This window comes from Homo sapiens, chromosome 1 (genome assembly GCF_000001405.40).
Source record: "Homo sapiens chromosome 1, GRCh38.p14 Primary Assembly".
NCBI lineage: Eukaryota > Metazoa > Chordata > Mammalia > Primates > Hominidae > Homo > Homo sapiens.
The window spans coordinates 110,383,552-110,400,858 of record NC_000001.11 but is presented as its reverse complement, the minus strand read 5'-3'; the positions used below and the strand labels follow the sequence as shown (position 1 = coordinate 110,400,858).

Here is a 17,307-nt window from a genome sequence, read left to right as displayed (position 1 = left end):
GGGACTACAGGCGCACGACACCACACCTGGCTGATTTTTGTATTTTTAGTAGAGATGGGGTTTCGCCATGTTGGCCAGGATCGTCTCGATCTCCTGACCTCGTGATCCACCCGCCTCAGCCTCCGAAAGTGCTGGGATTATAGGCAATGAGCCACCGCACCCGGCTGTTTTATGTATTATATACTATATTCTTAGAGTAAAGTAAGCTAGAAAAAATGTTATTAAAACTATGAAGATAAAATATATTCAATATTCATTAAGTAGAAGTGGATCATTATAAAAGGTCTATATTTGTCATCTTCACATTGAGTAGGCTGAAAAGGAGGGTTTGTCTCACTGTCTCAGGGGTGACAGAGGTGAAAGAAAATTCATGTGTAAGTGGACCCGTGTTGTTCAAGGATCAAGTATACTATATGCCAGGAACTCATTTAATTATCCTTAACAACCCTATACAGTAGGTACTCTTACTTACCCTATCTATCTTAGGTTTGTGTAACTAAGGCTATGAAATTACCAGTCATCATTTGAACTCGGGACTCCAATTCAGTCTGTACTTTTTTTTTTTTTTTTTTTTTTTTTTTGAGACGGAGTTTCGCTCTGTTGCCCAGGCTGGAGTGTAGTGGCACGATCTCAGCTCACTGCAAGCTCCGCCTCCTGGGTTCACGCCATTCTCCTGCCTCAGCCTCCCGAGTAGCTGGGACTACAGGTGCCCTCCACCACACCCGGCTAATTTTTTGTCTTTTAGTAGAGATGGGGTTTCACTGTGTTAGCCAGGATGGCCTCAATCTCCTGACCTCATGATCCACCCGCCTCAGCCTCCCAAAGTGCTGGGATTATAGGCATGAGCCACCGCACCCAGCTGAGTCTGTACTCTTTAACACCCAGACCACCAAATAGGACATGTTGGCTAGAAAATAAATTTTTACATTTGAAAAGGTCTAGCTGGGCACAGTGACTCATGCCTGTAATCCCAACACTTTGGGAGGTCAAGGCAGGAGGATGGCTTAAGCCAAGACCAGCCTGGGCAACATAGTGTGACCCCATCTCTACAAAAAATGTTTTTTTTTTAATTAACCAGGCATGGTGGCATGGGCCTGTAGTCCCAGCTACTTGGGAGGCTGAGGCAGGAGAATCACTTGAGCCCAGAAGGTTGACGTTGATGTGCCACTGCACCCTAGCCTGGGTGACAGAGCAAGCCACTGTCTCAAAAAAAAAAAAAGGTTCGCTTCAACCTTTATAGTTCTCAACGGAATTGTGCACAAGCAGGCACAAAAGACTGATTTGTTGAACTTGAATGTAGTTCTGTTGCTCTAGCGATTTAACATTTGACAGTATAAAAACCTCCAGGATATTATTTATCCAAAAATATTAAGCATCTACAAATATAAGGTGCTATGTGAGAAAGCAAAGATTTTTAGTAAGACATAGCTCCAGCCCTTGAGCTTGTACTTTAATAAATGGGATATATATGTATGGTCTTCACCATACTTATTAATACCTGACATACATGTTGTTTTATGTCTGATTTCCCCAATAATGTACACACTTTGAGGGCAAAAGCTTTGTCTTTTTTTTTTTTTTTTTTTGAGACAGTCTCGCTCTGTCACCCAGGCTGGAGTGCAGTGGCACAATCTCGGCTCACTGCAACCTCCGCCTCCCGGGTTCAAGTGATTTTTGTGCCTCAGCCTCCCGAGTAGCTGGGACTACAGGTACACGCCACCACGCCCAGCTAATTTTTGTATTTTTAGTAGAGACAGTGTTTTGCCATGTTGGGCCAGCTGGTCTCAAACTCTTGGCCTCAAACGATCCACCTGCCTCGGCTTCCCAAGTGCTAGGATTTCAGGCGTGAGCCACCGCACCCAGCCCCTTAGTCTTATTTACATATATATCTTAAGCACCTAGAACAGTTCCTAGAACAGAGTAGGCACTGAATAATTGCTGAATAGATGAGTATATAACTAGTACAAGAGGTTTTCTTTATTTTTTTGTTTTTGAGACAGGGTCCTGCTCTATCGCCCAGGCTGGAGTGCAGGGACACAATCTTGACTCACTGCAACCTCTGCTTTCCCAGGTGCAAGAGATTCTTGTGCCTCAGCCTCCCGAGTAGCTGGGGCTACAGGCGCACACCACCACGTCTGGCTAATTTTTGTACTTTTAGTAGAGACAGGGTTTTGCTGTGTTGCCCAGGCTGGTCTTGAACTCCTGACCTCAAGCAATCCTCCCGCCTCGGCCTCCCAAGGTGCTGGGATTACAGGTGTGAGCAACCATGCCTGGCCCCACAAAAGAGTTTTGTAGTATGAACTGAGCCTCCAAAGATAGAATGAATGGATGCTTGCAGTAAAAGGAATATGGGGTTTCCAGCAAGAGGAAATGGCAGTGTGAAGAGTGGATAAACCAAAAGGAATATGTAATAGCAAATGCCTTAGTTTGGTCTGTGAGGTAGGAAGTGAAAAAGCTGAAAGGTAGGGCAGCTAACTCAAGGAAACTGAATATCTGCTTTTTAAGAAATCTAGGCTTTATCTTATTAGCAGATTGGATTTTGGAGCAGGTGAGAGTAAAGGTGGAGTTTTAAGATTAATTTGTAGTGGCCAGGCGCCGTGGCTCGCGCCTATAATCCCAGCACTTTGGGAGGCCGAGGCAGCTGGATCATCTGAGGTCAGGAGTTCAAGACCAGCCTGGTCAACCTGGTGAAACCCCATCTCCACTAAAAATATAAAAATTAGCTGGGTGTGGTGGCGAGCACCTACAATCCCAGCTACTTTGAGAGGCTGAGGCAGGAGAATCACTTGAGCCCGGGAGGCGGAGGTTGTAGTGAGCCAAGATTGCACCACTGCACTCCAGCCTGGGTGACAGAGTGAGACTCCATCTCAAAGAAAAACAAAATTAATTTGTAGAAAGAGCTCATTTTTTTCAAGGTGAGCTTCCTTTTGTTCATCTATGTATCTCCAGTTCCTAGCCCAAAGTAATAACAGTGAATCTTTAGTGAGTTTTTGCCACATGCTAAGCAATTTACATTCATTTACCTCATTTGATCCTCAATCTTACAAGGTATTATCCCCATTTTAGAGAAGAAATAGGCTCCACAAGATCATTAGCTCAGGATCAAATGTAAGAGACAAAAAAAAGCAAATTAGGCCGGGCGTGGTGGCTCACGCCTGTAATCCCAGCACTTTGGGAGGCTGAGGCGGGTGGATCACTTGAGGTCGGCAATTCAAGACCAGTCTGACCAACATGGAGAAACCCCATCTCTACTAAAAATACAAAATTAGCTGGGCATGGTGGCACATGCCTGTAATCCCAGCTACTCGGGAGGCTGAGGCAGGAGAATTCCTTGAACCCAGGAGAGGGAGGTTGCAGTGAGATCGCGCCATTGCACTCCAGCCTGGGCAACAAAAGCAAAATGCGATCTCAAAAAAATAAAATAAAATAAAAAAATTTGGCAGAAAGGGAATAAAGGAGAATGAAGAATTAAAGATGATTGAATTTTCTAGTCTAGGCGATAGAACTGGGTGTCTTAGAAAAAAGCAGTGAACTCAATAACAGCGAAAAGATGACTGGGTTTGATTTTAGATGTTGACAGGGCATCTTGGTGGTAATCCTTAATAGCAAGCATGTATTGAGTGCTTGCTGTTTACCAGGCACAATGCTAAACCTCCCCTAAGGAGCCTCTCATTGCATTTACATTATTTATTTATCTATCTATTTATTTGAAATAGAGTGTCACTCTGTCACCCAGGCTGGGGCGTAGTGGCACCATCTCGGCTCTCTGCAACCCTCTTCCTCCCAGGTCGAAGTGCTTCTCGTGCCTCAAGCGTCCCAAGTAGCTGGGATTACAGGCATGCACCACAACACCTGGCTAATTTTTGCACAGAGACAGGGTTTCGCCATGTTGGCCAGGTTGGTTTCAAACTCCTGGCCTCAACTGATCCACTCACCTTGGCCTCTCAAAGTGCCTGTGAGAGGTGACAGCGTGCTGGCAGCCCATGCAGCCCTCGCTTGCTCTCGGTGCCTCCTTGGCCTCGGCCCCCATTCTGGCAGTGCTTGAGGAGCCCTTCAGCCCGCCGCTGCACCGTGGGAGCCCTTCTCTGGGCTGGCCAAGGCTGGAGCCGGCTCCCTCGGCTTGCGGGGAGGCGTGGAGGGAGAGGCAGGGGCGGGACCCGGAACTGTGCGCGGCGCTTGCGGGCCAGCTAGAGTTCCGGGTGGGTGTGGGCTTGGCGGGCCCCGCACTCGGAGAGGCTGGCCCGCCAGCCCTGCCGGCCCCGGGCAGTGAGGGGCTTAGCACCCAGGCCAGCAGCTGCGGAGGGTGCGCGGGGTCCCCCAGCAGTGCTGGCCCACCGGCGCTGCGCTCGATTTCTCGCCAGGCCTTAGCTGCCTCCCCGCAGGGCAGGGCTTGGAACCTGCAGCCCGCCATGTCTGAGTCTACCCCCACGGCCGGCTGTGGGCTCCTGCACGGCCTGAACCTCCCTGACGAGCACCGCCCCCTGCTCCACGGCGCCCGGTCCCATCCACCGCCCAAGGGCTGAGGACTGCGCGCACCACACTGGACTGGCGGGCAGCTCCACCTGCGGCCCCAGTGCGAGATCCACTGGGTGAGGCCAGCTGGCCTCCTGAGTCTAGTGGAGACTTGGAGAACCTTTATGTCTAGCTAAGGGATTGTAAGTGCACCAATCAGCACTCTGTGTCTAGCTCAAGGTTTGTGAACACACCAATCAGCACCCTGTGTCTAGCTCAGGGTTTGTGGATGCACCAATCAGCACTCTGTATCTAGCTAATCTGGTGGGGACTTGGAGAATCTTTATGTCTAGCTAAGGGATTGTGAATGCACCAATGGGCACTCTGTGTCTAGCTCAGGGTTTGTAAATGCACCAATCAGCACTCTGTGTCTAGCTCAGGGTTTGTAAATACACCAATCTACACCCTGTATCTAGCTAATCTAGTGGGGATGTGGAGAACTTTTGTGTCTAGCTCAGGGATTGTAAACGCACCAATCAGCACCCTGTCAAAATGGACCAATCACCTCTCTGTAAAACAGACCAATCGGCTCTCTGTAAAATGGACCAATCAGCAGGATGTGGGTGGGGCCAGATAAGAGAGTAAAAGCAGGCTGCCTGAGCCAGCAGTGAGTGGCAAACTCGTGTGGTTTCTTTCCAGACTGTGGAAGCTTTGTTCTTTCACTCTTTGCAATGAATCTGGCTACTGCTCACTCTTTGGGTCTACATTGTCTTTATGAGCTGTAACACTGACGGCGAAGGTCTGCAGCTTCACTCCTGAGCCAGCGAGACCACGAACCCACCAGAAGGAAGAAACTCTGAACACATCTGAACATCAGAAGGAACAAACTCCAGACACGCCACCTTTAAGAACTGTAACACTCACGGCCAGGGTCTGCGGCTTCATTCTTGAAGTGAGTGAGACCAAGAACCCACCAATTCCGGGCACACTGGGATTATAGGTATGAGCCACCACGAACAGCCTCCCATTGCATTTAGAATTAAAAAGTTATGGCTGGGCACAGCGGTTCATGCCTGTAATCCTAGCACTCTGGGAGGCCGAGAGGGGCAGATCACTTGAGGTCCAGAGTTCGAGACCAGCCTGGCCAATATGGTGAAATCCCATTTCTACTAAAAATCCAAAAAAATTAGCTGGGTGTGGTGGTGCACATGATCCCAGCTACTCAGGAGGATGAGGCACAAGAATCACCTGAACCCAGGAGGCGGAGGTTGCAGTGAGATGAGATTGTGCCATTGCACTCCAGCCTGGGCTGTGACTGAGCGAGACCCTGTATCCAAAAAAAAAAATAAGTTCTAACCATGACCTCCCAACCCCTGCATAATTCAAGCCCTGCTAACCCCTTGGGCCACATCTCATGCCACCCTGTGTCTACCACATATCCCCCTCTGGCACAGCGTCTGGCACATAGGAAGCAATTGTTTTTATTGAATGAAATAAATGAACATACATTCTCATTTATTCTTCACAGCACCCTTTGAGGTAGGATATAATGTATCCAATTTATCAATGAAACATAAGATGTGCTGGAAAGAGCTTGAGGCTGGAAAAGGCTCATTTTCTAGTCTGTACAGAGCCAAAGCTGAAGTATGCTTGTATGAGGGAGTCCCAGGACACTTCTATAATAGTTAATTTTATGTGTCAGCTTGGCTGGGCTATGGGATGCTCAGGTATTTGGCTAGACATTATTTTGGGGTGTAACCGTGAAGGTGTTTCTGGATGAGATCAGCATTTGAATCAGTAGACTGAAGAAGACTGCCCTCCCCAATGTGAGCGGAACTCATGCAATCCATTAAAGGCCTGAATAGAATAAAAGGCTAAGAAAGAATTTCTCACTGCCTGACTGTCTTGGAGTCGGGACATCAGTCTTCTCCTGACTTTGGACTCAAACTCAGAATGGAACTTACACAAATGGCTCTCCTGGTTCTCAGGCCCTCTCAGACTAAAACTTACACCATCAGCACTTCTGGTTTTCAGGCTTCTGGACTCAGACTGGAACTACACCATCAACTCTCTTGAGTGTCCCGCTTGCTGACCAGAGTGCAGGCTTTTCAGTCTCCATAATCATGTGAGTCAATTCTCATAGTAAATCAACCTTAATATCTCCTCCCCCATCACTGGTTCTTGCTCTGGAGAATATTCTATTCTTTCTCGAGAACCCAGACTCATTCAACCCCTCAGGTTTGATAATTCACTAGGATGACTCACAGGACTGAGCATTTAGTTGTTGTACTTACATGGTTTATTAAAGTGAAAGGATACAAAGCTGACTCAACAAAGGCAAAAGGAGGATGGGGCAAAGTCCAGAAGAAACCAGGCAGAAGCTTGCAAGAATTCTTCTATCAGTGAAGATACACAGGATGCAGTTAATTCCTCCAGCAATGAGTTGTAACAACATGTGTGAAATGTTGCCAATCCAGAAAGCTTAGTAGAGACTCAGTGCCCAAGGGGGCTGGTCACCAAAGTACCCTCTCTGCCTAGCACATATCAAAATTCCAAGCTCCCGAAAAAAGCAAATGTTCAGCATAAAAATTGTATTGTTTACATAGTTTAAGCACAATGATTCACTATTATCATTTAAGGAATGGTAGGAACCCTCCTGAAATCTAAGTTCCCAGTTGCCAGCCAGAGGCCAACCATGTAAACAGGCCTTTCAAAGAATAGGAATCTCAGGCCAGCGATGTTAACTCTTTTCTGAACAAGGATTGAATGAGGGCAAGGAGAGAGTCAACTAAAAATAAAGTATCTTAATTCTAGTTGGTAAAGCTTATTAAAGTCTAAATCCATAAGTGTTAAAAATTATTCCTGGGCTGGCTATGTTTGACACTGGGATGGGGGTAATAGTGGTGATTGCCAAATCATGCTGCATTCTTGCTGAATAGCTTTAGGGCCAAGAGTTAAAAGGTTAGAAGTTGAGGGAATTGTTTATGTTTCGTTAAAGACCCTACAAGCTTTATTAAGACAATTGGGTACAGATGCCAAAATGTTAACTAATATCCCAAAGGTGGCTTAAGAATTCTTTCTTCTTGCTATTAGGCCTCATTTGACTAACAAAAATTATTTTTCATGAACCAAGTACCAATAGTAGGTCCAATGTGCAGTCATCTTACATTATATATTGTTAATCCTCACAACAACCTTGCAAAATATTAGCTACGCTTTAGAGTTTTAGAAACAGACTCAAAGAGAGTAAATTGCCCAGAGTCTACGGGCTTAAAAACTGACAAAATTGAGATTATCACCAAGCCTGCATTTCTGTTCATGTGCCTCTATGAAACATATGTTTGAAGTTCATCTCTGATTACTTTGCTGTCCTCTTGGCCTCTATGAATGACTTGCTGTTCTGCCGCATTTCAAATCTGACCCCAGGCATTAGCATCAGAGTTCTCTATCAATATAAAGCCTATTATAAGACAAAGATGAATAGGAATATATACACACATATATAATGTATTGTTTACATAGGTTAGGCACAATGATTCACTATTATCATTTAAGGAATGGTAGGAACCCTCCTGAAATCTAACTTCCCAGTTGTATATGTTCCTATATGTATATGTGTGTATATATATATTCCTCTGTGTGTGTGTGTGTAAGAAAAATATATATATAGCCTAGCATCATTTCATCCTGTGATTAGAATTATGGATAGCTGGCTCCTTACAGTGGTTTATGCCTGTAATCCTAATACTTTGGGAGGTCAGGATGGGAGGATCGCTTGAGCCCAGGACATTGCAAACAGCCTGGGCAACAGAGTGAAACCCCCATCTCTTAAAAAAAAAAAAAATTAATTAGCTGAGCATGGTGGTGCATGCCTGTAGTCCCAGCTACTCAGGAGGCTGAGGTAGGAGGATTGCTTGAGCTGGGGAGGTCAAGGCTGCAGTAAACCATGATTATGCCACTGACTCCAGCCTGGGCAATAGAGCAGGCCCTGTCTCAAGAAAAAAAGAAATCATAGATAGCCCTGCTTTAAAAGAGCAACAAGCGTGCCACCAAAAAAATAAATAAATCAGTCTTGTTTACTAAAAAATGTTTTCAGGCTGGCCACGGTGGCTTACGTCTGTAATCCCAGCACTTTGGCAGGCTAAGGCAGGCGGATTGCCTGAGCTCAGGAGTTTGAGACCAGCCCGGGCAACACGGTGAAACCCCGTTTCTACTAAAATACAAAAAATTAGCTGGGCGTGGTGGTATGCGCCTGTAGTACCAGGTACTTGGGAGACTGAGGCAGGAGAATCACTTGAACACGGGAGGCAGAGGTTGCAGTGAACCGAAATTGCACCACTGCACTCCAGCCTGGGCGACAGAGTGAGACTCTGTCTCAAAAAAAAAAAAGTTGTCTAGAGTGTATTCATAATTACAAACAGCTCTCTGAAAAGCATTTATTTGCCTTCTCTCTTTGGGTTTTCTCCTTCTGTTGAATGTTTATTTGATCCTTGCCACCAGCATCATGTAACTGCATAATCCTTCCATGCTTACACTTACAGGGCACCCTCCCAAACCACTAAGCTGTCCTTCTGCAAGCACTTTAATCAAAAAGTATTATAGAGTTTGATTTTAAGAATCTGAGAAGCCTCTTGCTTCTTAAAAAGGAACATGCATAAATATGTGCAGATTTTCCAGATAAAACTAAAAACACATCCTTTCGTCTAAAATATACTCTGGTTTAAAATCTGGAATATTGGTGTGGGAGACGAAAGACAATTTCCCATTTGACTTGTTTGTTTTGTTTTGTTTTATGTGGAGGGTAGAGGGAGGAAATGGGAAGAGAAAGTTGAATTATCCCAGTAATTTTCTAGGGGTCTCAGCCTTAACCATTTCCAAAATATAATAAAAAAAATCTCATTAAAATTACTACGAGCATACGTCTTTTGCAGGAGGTGGTTGAGGTAATCAGATCTCAAAAATGCAATTAAAATGGGGTCTGAAACCCCAAATTAGTAACCAGAATCTTTAGTCAATATACAAAAGGCCACACGAATGGGTTGAGCTTACTGAAGATTTCTGTTTGTGGCCCAGGAAATGCCTCTCTCACCACCCATCCAGGAGTTTTATATTCTCCTGTAAAATAAGCATGTTGTGAGAAGTTCCCTGAGGAAATTTGAAGACAAGTGTATGAGAGCTCTGGAGCCCCATCCCCCTGCCCTGAGCATAGTCGCCAAAAGGACTTTCCACTTAGTTTACTTCATGCTTGCTTTTGAGCCTGCGGCAAAAAATTCTACCTTCTGAGTGACTGTGGGTGGAGGGAGGGCCTGAGATGACATCAAATCACAGTCTTTCCTCCTCCCCTCAGGAAGTAAAGTCCACTAGCAGGAGGGCCTAAATCGTCTGAGCCCTCCTTGGCTCTTACAATGCTCACTTGTTTTCACAATGCAGCAAAATGAAATGCCTTAGAAAAAGAGTAACATTCCAGAAAACGGTGTAATTTATTTTTCTTCCTTAATTGCCCCATCTGTGGAGGATTTCTTTGCTGAACACCACATCAAAGGTAAGATGGGAATGGGACTGTGTGCTGGGTTGGTTTTCTAACAACGACTGGCATCTCTCCCCACCCAGCCTGCTCACCAGATGGCCATTCCGCATACCCTGCCAGCTGACTTTCCTTTCCAGTTAGAAACAGTCAGCCTTCGACCCGACAGGGGAAATAATGAGTACTGTTCCCCCTTCCTCAGAACATTTACATTTTCTTTTTGCTATCATTCTTTATATACACTTGTTTATTTTACGGAACCGATTGGGAGAAGGTAGCATAGTGTCATGTTACTCCTGAATACTTTAGCATGTATCTCCTAAGAATATTCTCTTGTGGAAGAGGTTCCAAGAGGTTAACCTTGGTACAGTATTCTGTATTATACAGTCCATATTCAAATTTCCCCAACTGTCCCCACAAACTGTCTTTTACAACTTTTTTTTCTGATCTAGGATATATTCAATAAGCGGGTATCGCATTTCGTTGTCATGTCTGTTTAGCTCCAAAAATATTTACATTTAGCAAGTGTTTTCTAAGGAGAATTCCTAAACTCAAGGCTCGCCTTCCCTTTCTATTTCTCTTAAGAGTTCACCCGGAGGACCAGCAGGGTGACGCACAGCTTCTCCAAGAAACTGGCTTGCAGACCTGGGGGGAGGGACACTGAGTACAGTTCTAGGAGTGGCCACCCCACAGTCACTGAGATCAGGCTTTCCAGGTAACTAAGTCCTTAGTTGCATCAGGCAGACTTCATCTGTAACTGAGGGGTTAAAAAAAAATTACAAGTGGTTTTATATCATAGGGAAAGAGGTTTTTTTTCTGTTTTGTATTACATTTCAACTTTTATTTTAGATTCAGGGGGTACATGTGTAGGTTTGTTACAAAGGCATATTGTCTGATGCTGAGATTTGGAGTATAATTGAACCCCTCACCCAGATAGTGAGCACAGCATCCAATAGGGAGTTTTTCAACCCTCCTCCCTCCCTATCTTGTAGTCCCCAGTGTCTGTGGTTCCCCTCTTTATGTCCATATGTACCCAATTTTTAGCTCCCACTTATAAGTGAGAACATGCAGTATTTGGTTGTTTCTGCATCAATTTGCTCAAGATAATGGTCCAGCTGCATCCATATTGCTGGAAAGGATATGATTTTGTTCTTTTTTATGGTGGCTGTGTAGTATTCCATGGTGTCTATGTATCACATTTTCTTTATCCAACCCACTGTTGATGAGCACGTAGGTTGATTCCATGTCTTTGCTATTGTGAATAATGCTGCAGTGAACATAAAAGTGCATGTGGCTTTTTGGTAGAACAATTTATCTTCCTTTGGGTATATACCCAGGAATGGGATTACTGGGTCAAATGGTAGTTCAATTTTTGGTTCTTTCAGAAATCTCCAAACTGCGTTGCACAGTGGCTGAACTAATTTGCATTCCCACCAACAATGTATGAACGTTCCCTTTCAGATAAAAAGTTTAAAAGTTTAGATTAGTTTCTGGTCCACTGAATCAACTGTCTTGGATTTATCACAGGGATCTTCTGCATTTAAAATAGAAGAGGCATCATGCTGAAGAGGGAGGGGAAGGTCCAACCTTACACTAAAACCCTGGATGGAGGATGGGGATGGATGATTGTGATTCATTTTTTCCTGGTAAGAATTCACTTTTTTCCCCCTTTCCTATTGCCTAAAAGCAGGCTTTCTGGAGAAAGGCTCAGAGCTGCCTACGAATAGGATCACTTAGGAAATCTTTGGCATCTGAGTGGAGGGGTGGGCAGGAACAAGGCCAGGAGCTGCCAAAAACTGCTAAAGTCAGAGGCCCATGCCGAACCCAGGAGAAAGTTGAAAATGCCCCTAGAGCAAAAGCAGAAATGTTCCTGGGCTGGGTGTGGGGGCTCACACCTATAATCCCAGCACTTTGGGAGGCCTAGGTGTGTGGATCACTTGAAGTCAGGAGTTCGAGACCAGCCTAGCTAACATGGTGAAACCCGATCACTACAAAAATACAAAAATTAGCTGAGTGCAGTGGCATGCACCTGTAGTCCCAGCTACTTGGGAGGCTGAGGCAGGAGAATTGCTTGAAATCAGGAGGTGGAGACTGAAGTGAGCCAAGATCGTGCCACTGCACTGCAGCCTAGGCAACCATGAGAGACTCTCTCAAAACAAACAAACAGAAGTGTTCCTGAATCCAGTCATCTACTCTTCCTATCATCTCTTAAACCTGAGAATGCTCAGTCACAATCAGCAGTTCTGTACTGGCTGCATGGCAATTAGGGTTTGGGGACAATCATACTTTTAACCATCCCAAAAGTAGCACTGGGAGGTGCTAAAAAGTGCTCTGGGGGTGATCTCCCCAGTTCAGCCCAGCATAGATAGAACACTGTGGGCACAGCCCCTTCTACCGATAAGGGGTGGGGACATTTCCTCTGTTTGGCCTGCTGTCTACTTCCCAATCCATCCCCACTAACTATAGTTTATGCTATCTATATTTCCGATGTGTTTGGAAAGGGAGGACAAGGATTTTGAAGGGGGAGCCTGATTCTTCTCCTTTACCCATAAGCAACTAGACGAGGCATTCCATTTTTTAAATTAACTTCTTTCCCTCACCCTCCCAGGGGTTGAGGTGTGAGAGTGGTGATCTGCATCATCAGCATGCCCATTCCAGAATGTTGGTGAACCCCAGCTATGCCCCACACAGCTCTCCAGAGAGTGGCACCAGCTGCACAATTCTTAAGTGTTTCCAGAGTTCTATTAACTTTGAGATGCACTCAAAAAAAAACACCCTTTTCTTGCCGACACTTCCCCCCTACTCAGCCCTACAGTAAGCAGCTCACGGGGAAAGGTAGCACAGGTCTTGGTGCCTTCTAATAATCCTATAGTTCACATGCAGATATCTAAGAATTCTACAAATAGGATGGTGGGAAAACATCAGGCCTCCTCCCTCGTGCTAGACAAGATAGGGGCAGAGGTCCCCAGCCAGGATTTATGTAATACAAAACTCTTAACACATAATAGTAGTACTTGCTAAACATTAGCTTCAGTACTAAACAATCTCATTTTCCCCCTAGAAATGTTACTAATAGGGAAACTAAAGGATGCCCTAAGTCTGAGAGCCCTTCCTGGGGCTGGGCCACCCCCCTAAATCATAGGCTTTGCAGAATAGGCACTGTTGGTGAGGATCTCTAATTCTCCTGCCTTTCTCCCCAGTAACCACCCTGACTTTTTCTACATTATCCTCTGAGGATAGAATGGTTTTTGATCAATTTAGTTGCTGATAGGAAAAACCATCTAATAACCAGATTAATAAACACTGTCCCACTTTTAGGGTGTGATACTGCTTACTAAGCACAAAAAATGCACTGGATCCTCAAAATGTTAACAATAAATTCAGGGGCTAATCCCCCACAGTTGTAATGTGGATACTTGAATGACTGTGCTTTTGTTTCTGTATGACTTACAACTGTTCTTTTCTATAACAGATGAGCTCCTAGTAAGTGAAAAATAACAATGTTCTTTGGGAGCTTCCTACTTAAAAAAAGAGAGAGAGATTCATTCTAACCAACTTACCACACTTTATATATTTGTATGACTGTTTTCTGTATTCAGTCTGTCTTACTAGACTGAATGTTCCATGGGGGCAGGGTCTATGTCTGCATTGCTCATGAGTATATGCTCATTACCGTAAGCCCAGTGCCAGTATACAGCCTGGAACATAGTAGGCACTCAGTAAAATACTGTTGGTGGATGGATAGATGGATGGATGAATTGATAGCTGCACACATTTATGAATAAACAAATAAGGATGAAGGGGATAGTTGATGAAACTGAAGAGATGAGAATGGCTCTTGAGGCTATGAGAAGCTAATGAGAAAAATTAAGCAGGGATGTGATAGATTTGCATTTCAGAGAAATGTGACGAGCAGATGCTACTGAGAGGTCAAATAGGAGAGAAATAACAAGACTCTATTGGTTTAGCAACAAAGAAATCTAATAACCTTGATAAGAGCTAGTACAGTGGAGCAGTGGGGGCCAAAGTTAGTGAACTTTAGTTTTCAGTGGAGTAGCAGAATGACAGAAAGTGGAGATACCTAATAGACCATTTTTTACAGAAGTTTGCCTGTGAAGGTCAGGAGGAGCTAGGGTGATACTAGAAAAGGACGCAGGATAAGAAGTTGTTATTAGATAAAACTAACTCTGACAAAGCCTGGTGCCTGTATTGAAAATAAGTCACTGAGGCTGATCCAACTCCTTTCCCAGACAATAATTAAAATGATCTAGTGAGGAAGCTCTTATTGGAGGTGGGGTGTGGGGGAAGTCCTGCTTAAGGTGTTCCTGCCAGGTTCAACCCAATTAACTGCTCTTAAAAACAAAAAGAAAATGAGGGGACTGGAGAAGTTCTAGGGTTTTTGCTTTATTTTGGAGTGAGCCATTTACAATGTATGACGTGGACTCTGGTAACAGAACTAAAACCCACCAAGCTTGGTCTAAGACATGGGATTATGTAGAATAATGCAGATTTATGTAGTCTGCTAAATTAACTAAGGAAAAACCTAGACCTTGGGAGAGATTTTTAATATCTTTGAGTCAAAACTGAAACAAAGTTGGAAGACTTCAAGTTAAGGGACGGGAAGCATGGTAGGTGCAAAGGCTCTGCCCTTGGTCTTCTTGATACATAGTGGACACGGACTCAGTTATTAGAGACAAGTCCTAACCATTCACTGCTGCTACACGCAGACACCAAGGACAGACCAGAGATGAAAAGCTCTGAACTGGGGGACCAGTAGCTAGCTAAATTTAGGTAGCTAAGAATATAGAGGTCAACATCCTCTAGACACCAGCACAGAACCCACGTCCATAGAACAAAAGGAAGTTTACTTTACAGAATGATGCACTGTATTATTCCTTGCTCATGAGAGGACACAATCATCACATTATTATGAACTGAGAGAAGAAAGTCTAAGTCATTTGAGATCTGTGTATATTTTCTAACCTAATTTCTAGCCTGACAGAAGTGCCTTAGAGGAAAATTATGGTTATAAATTGCCTCAATGGGGGCCTGATAAAATGTCTTTTTAACTTTTGAATATATAGTCCTGGCGTTTATAGCACTCTTCATTCTAAATAAGTTTTGTTCCTTTTATCAAATCAGAATGGGAAAAAGTATATTAAGAGACTTCTTCCTCACCACTACCACTTTTGCAATTTCTGAGCATCGCCAGTAGTGATGGGGTGAAAAGAAGGGGGCAGGTCTTGACCATTATTTAAAAGCAGGGGCTGAGGGAGGGAGGTGTCTAAGAGAAAGCACATCTGTCACTCAAATGAATGGGTGGATGGTACCAATAGAAAAAACTGAAAAGAGTAGGCATAGGATAAGGGAAATGTGAGTTTATGTTTGGACAAGTTGACCAGAAGTTATAAAGATATGGTAGACAATTAGGAGTCTGAAGCTCTTGGGAAAGCAGAATGGAAACCACAGTTAATTGTTTGAGTGTTAAGTGCCAAATATTAAGTACTTTATCAGAATTTTCTCAATTAATCTTCACAGTCTTATGAGCTAGGTAATATTTTCATCCCCAATGCCGCCTCCCCCATCATAAAAGCGGAAGCTTAACCCATGTGACGTGCGAAGTTGTTTGCCCAAGGTCACGCCCCAGTAGGAAGAACAGCCTGGATGCAAGTTAAGGCAGACTGATTGCAGAACCCTGTTCAGCTACACCACCATAAGTATGCAGGTGGTAATTAAAACCTTGAGAGTAAATGATTGTCCAGGGAGCAGATATCAAGCGAGATGAGTACAGAACTGTAACAGGCGGGCCGAGAAAGTGGAATTAATGAAGGGGAACCTAAGGCTTTGTGGTTCTTTTATTATTATTAATTTTGAGACAAGGTCTCACTGTCGCCCAGGCTGGAGTGCAGTAGTGTGATCACAACTCACCGTACCCTCGACCTCCCAGGTTCAGGTGTTCCTCCCACCTCACCCTCCCAGGTAGCTGGGACTACAGGTGTTATACCACTACGCCCAGCTAATTTTTTGTACTTTTTGTAGAGACGGGGTTTCGCCATGTTGCCCAGGCTGGTCTTGAACTCCTGGGCTCAAGCGATCCACCCACCTCGGCCTCCCAAAGTACTAGGATTATAGGCAGGAGCCTCCATGCCCAGCTGGTTTTGTGGTTCATAAGCAATGCATGGCCAGGTTGAAAGCAGAAGTGGCCTTGAAAAGCCAACGCTACGAAACCCCTGGAGACAGAGAGTACACCTGGGCTTTACGAGTGAATGCAAACCCTGGCTAGGTTCCCCTCTAGACCCCTGTGGGATAAAGCATGACTGTTACTTAAAAACGGAAAGAAGGAATAGCACTTAACAGCCCCCCGGCTAACTAGAATTCTGAGAAATAAAAGTTAATACTCCACAGAAAGAAAACCTCATCTCCAAAGCAGCAATTCTAGTGGAGTACAGGTAAGGAAGATTAGGTGGGGCAGAAAGAAAAGGATGGGGCCCCTGGCCCAACCTTAAGATGGCCACAAATCCCAGTTAATCCAAAATTAAGCACCCCTTTTCACTCTTGAGTGTCTCAATTTGGATGATACATTTTATGGTCAACCTATTTATATATCTAGTGAAGGAAGGTACTCAGCTCAGCAGCAGAGTTAAATCAAAACTAATCTAAGAACTGACAGGAATAATTATTCCTCTTTGGACAAACACTTTTCTCCCACAAAGGTAACTGGAATTAGCTGTCTTTAACAGATGCTACTGAGGGCAGTAAAAGAGTGCCAGGTCTAGAGTCAGTCTAATCTGGGTTCAAATCTCAGTTCCAGTACCCCTATTTTAAGCAACTTTTTACCTCTCTAAACTTCAATTTCCTGATCTTGGAACTGCTGTTGCAGTTATAACTGAGAAAATTATTACAGTGACAGAGATCTGACCTAACCAACTCCATCCATCCTGCTTCTAACTTCCAAGCTGTCCTTGTTCATTCCCATGCGTAGGCTGAACTAACTTTGGGGGAAACTTAGTTGATAGCTTAACTTTGAAAGAGAAACTAACAGCCGTTTCCAAAAAAAAAAAAAAAAAAAAAAAAAAACCTCCTTTTAACAGCCCTTTCCAAAAAAAAAAAAAAACACTTCCTTCCTGCCTGGGGACTAGATTGCCTTTGTAGGACTAACACATTAGCCATAAGATTAGAAATTATGGTTTAGGAGTCATACAGCTGGAGGCCACAAGACTGACCCTCCCCAAATTGCTCGGGGGATAACATCACTATTGTGAAACCTAAGATCAGTGCTTGAGATAATTTGCAGGCCCTGCATTTGATGGATCAGCTGGCACCACCCAGAT

At 44.3% G+C, this 17,307-nt stretch overlaps 1 protein-coding gene across 12 annotated transcripts in view; it reads left to right on the top strand.

The window, feature by feature from the left end:
- Nucleotides 1-9,832: 9,832 nt before the first annotated feature.
- Nucleotides 9,833-17,307, top strand: part of SLC16A4 (solute carrier family 16 member 4) — a 28,170-nt gene continuing 20,695 nt past the window's right edge. For 8 of the 12 annotated variants that reach the window (XM_006711033.4, NM_001201548.2, NM_001319220.2 and 5 more), the window contains exons 1-2: nt 9,833-9,994; nt 11,504-11,622. In XM_006711033.4, the coding sequence (XP_006711096.1) occupies nt 11,589-11,622 (34 nt within the window). In that variant the 5' untranslated portion in view covers nt 9,833-9,994; nt 11,504-11,588. Of the gene's footprint in view, nt 9,995-10,561; nt 10,692-11,503; nt 11,623-17,307 lie in introns of all 12 variants that reach the window. The other 4 variants (XM_047433990.1, XM_047433967.1, XM_047433980.1 and 1 more) reach the window with 1 other exon arrangement.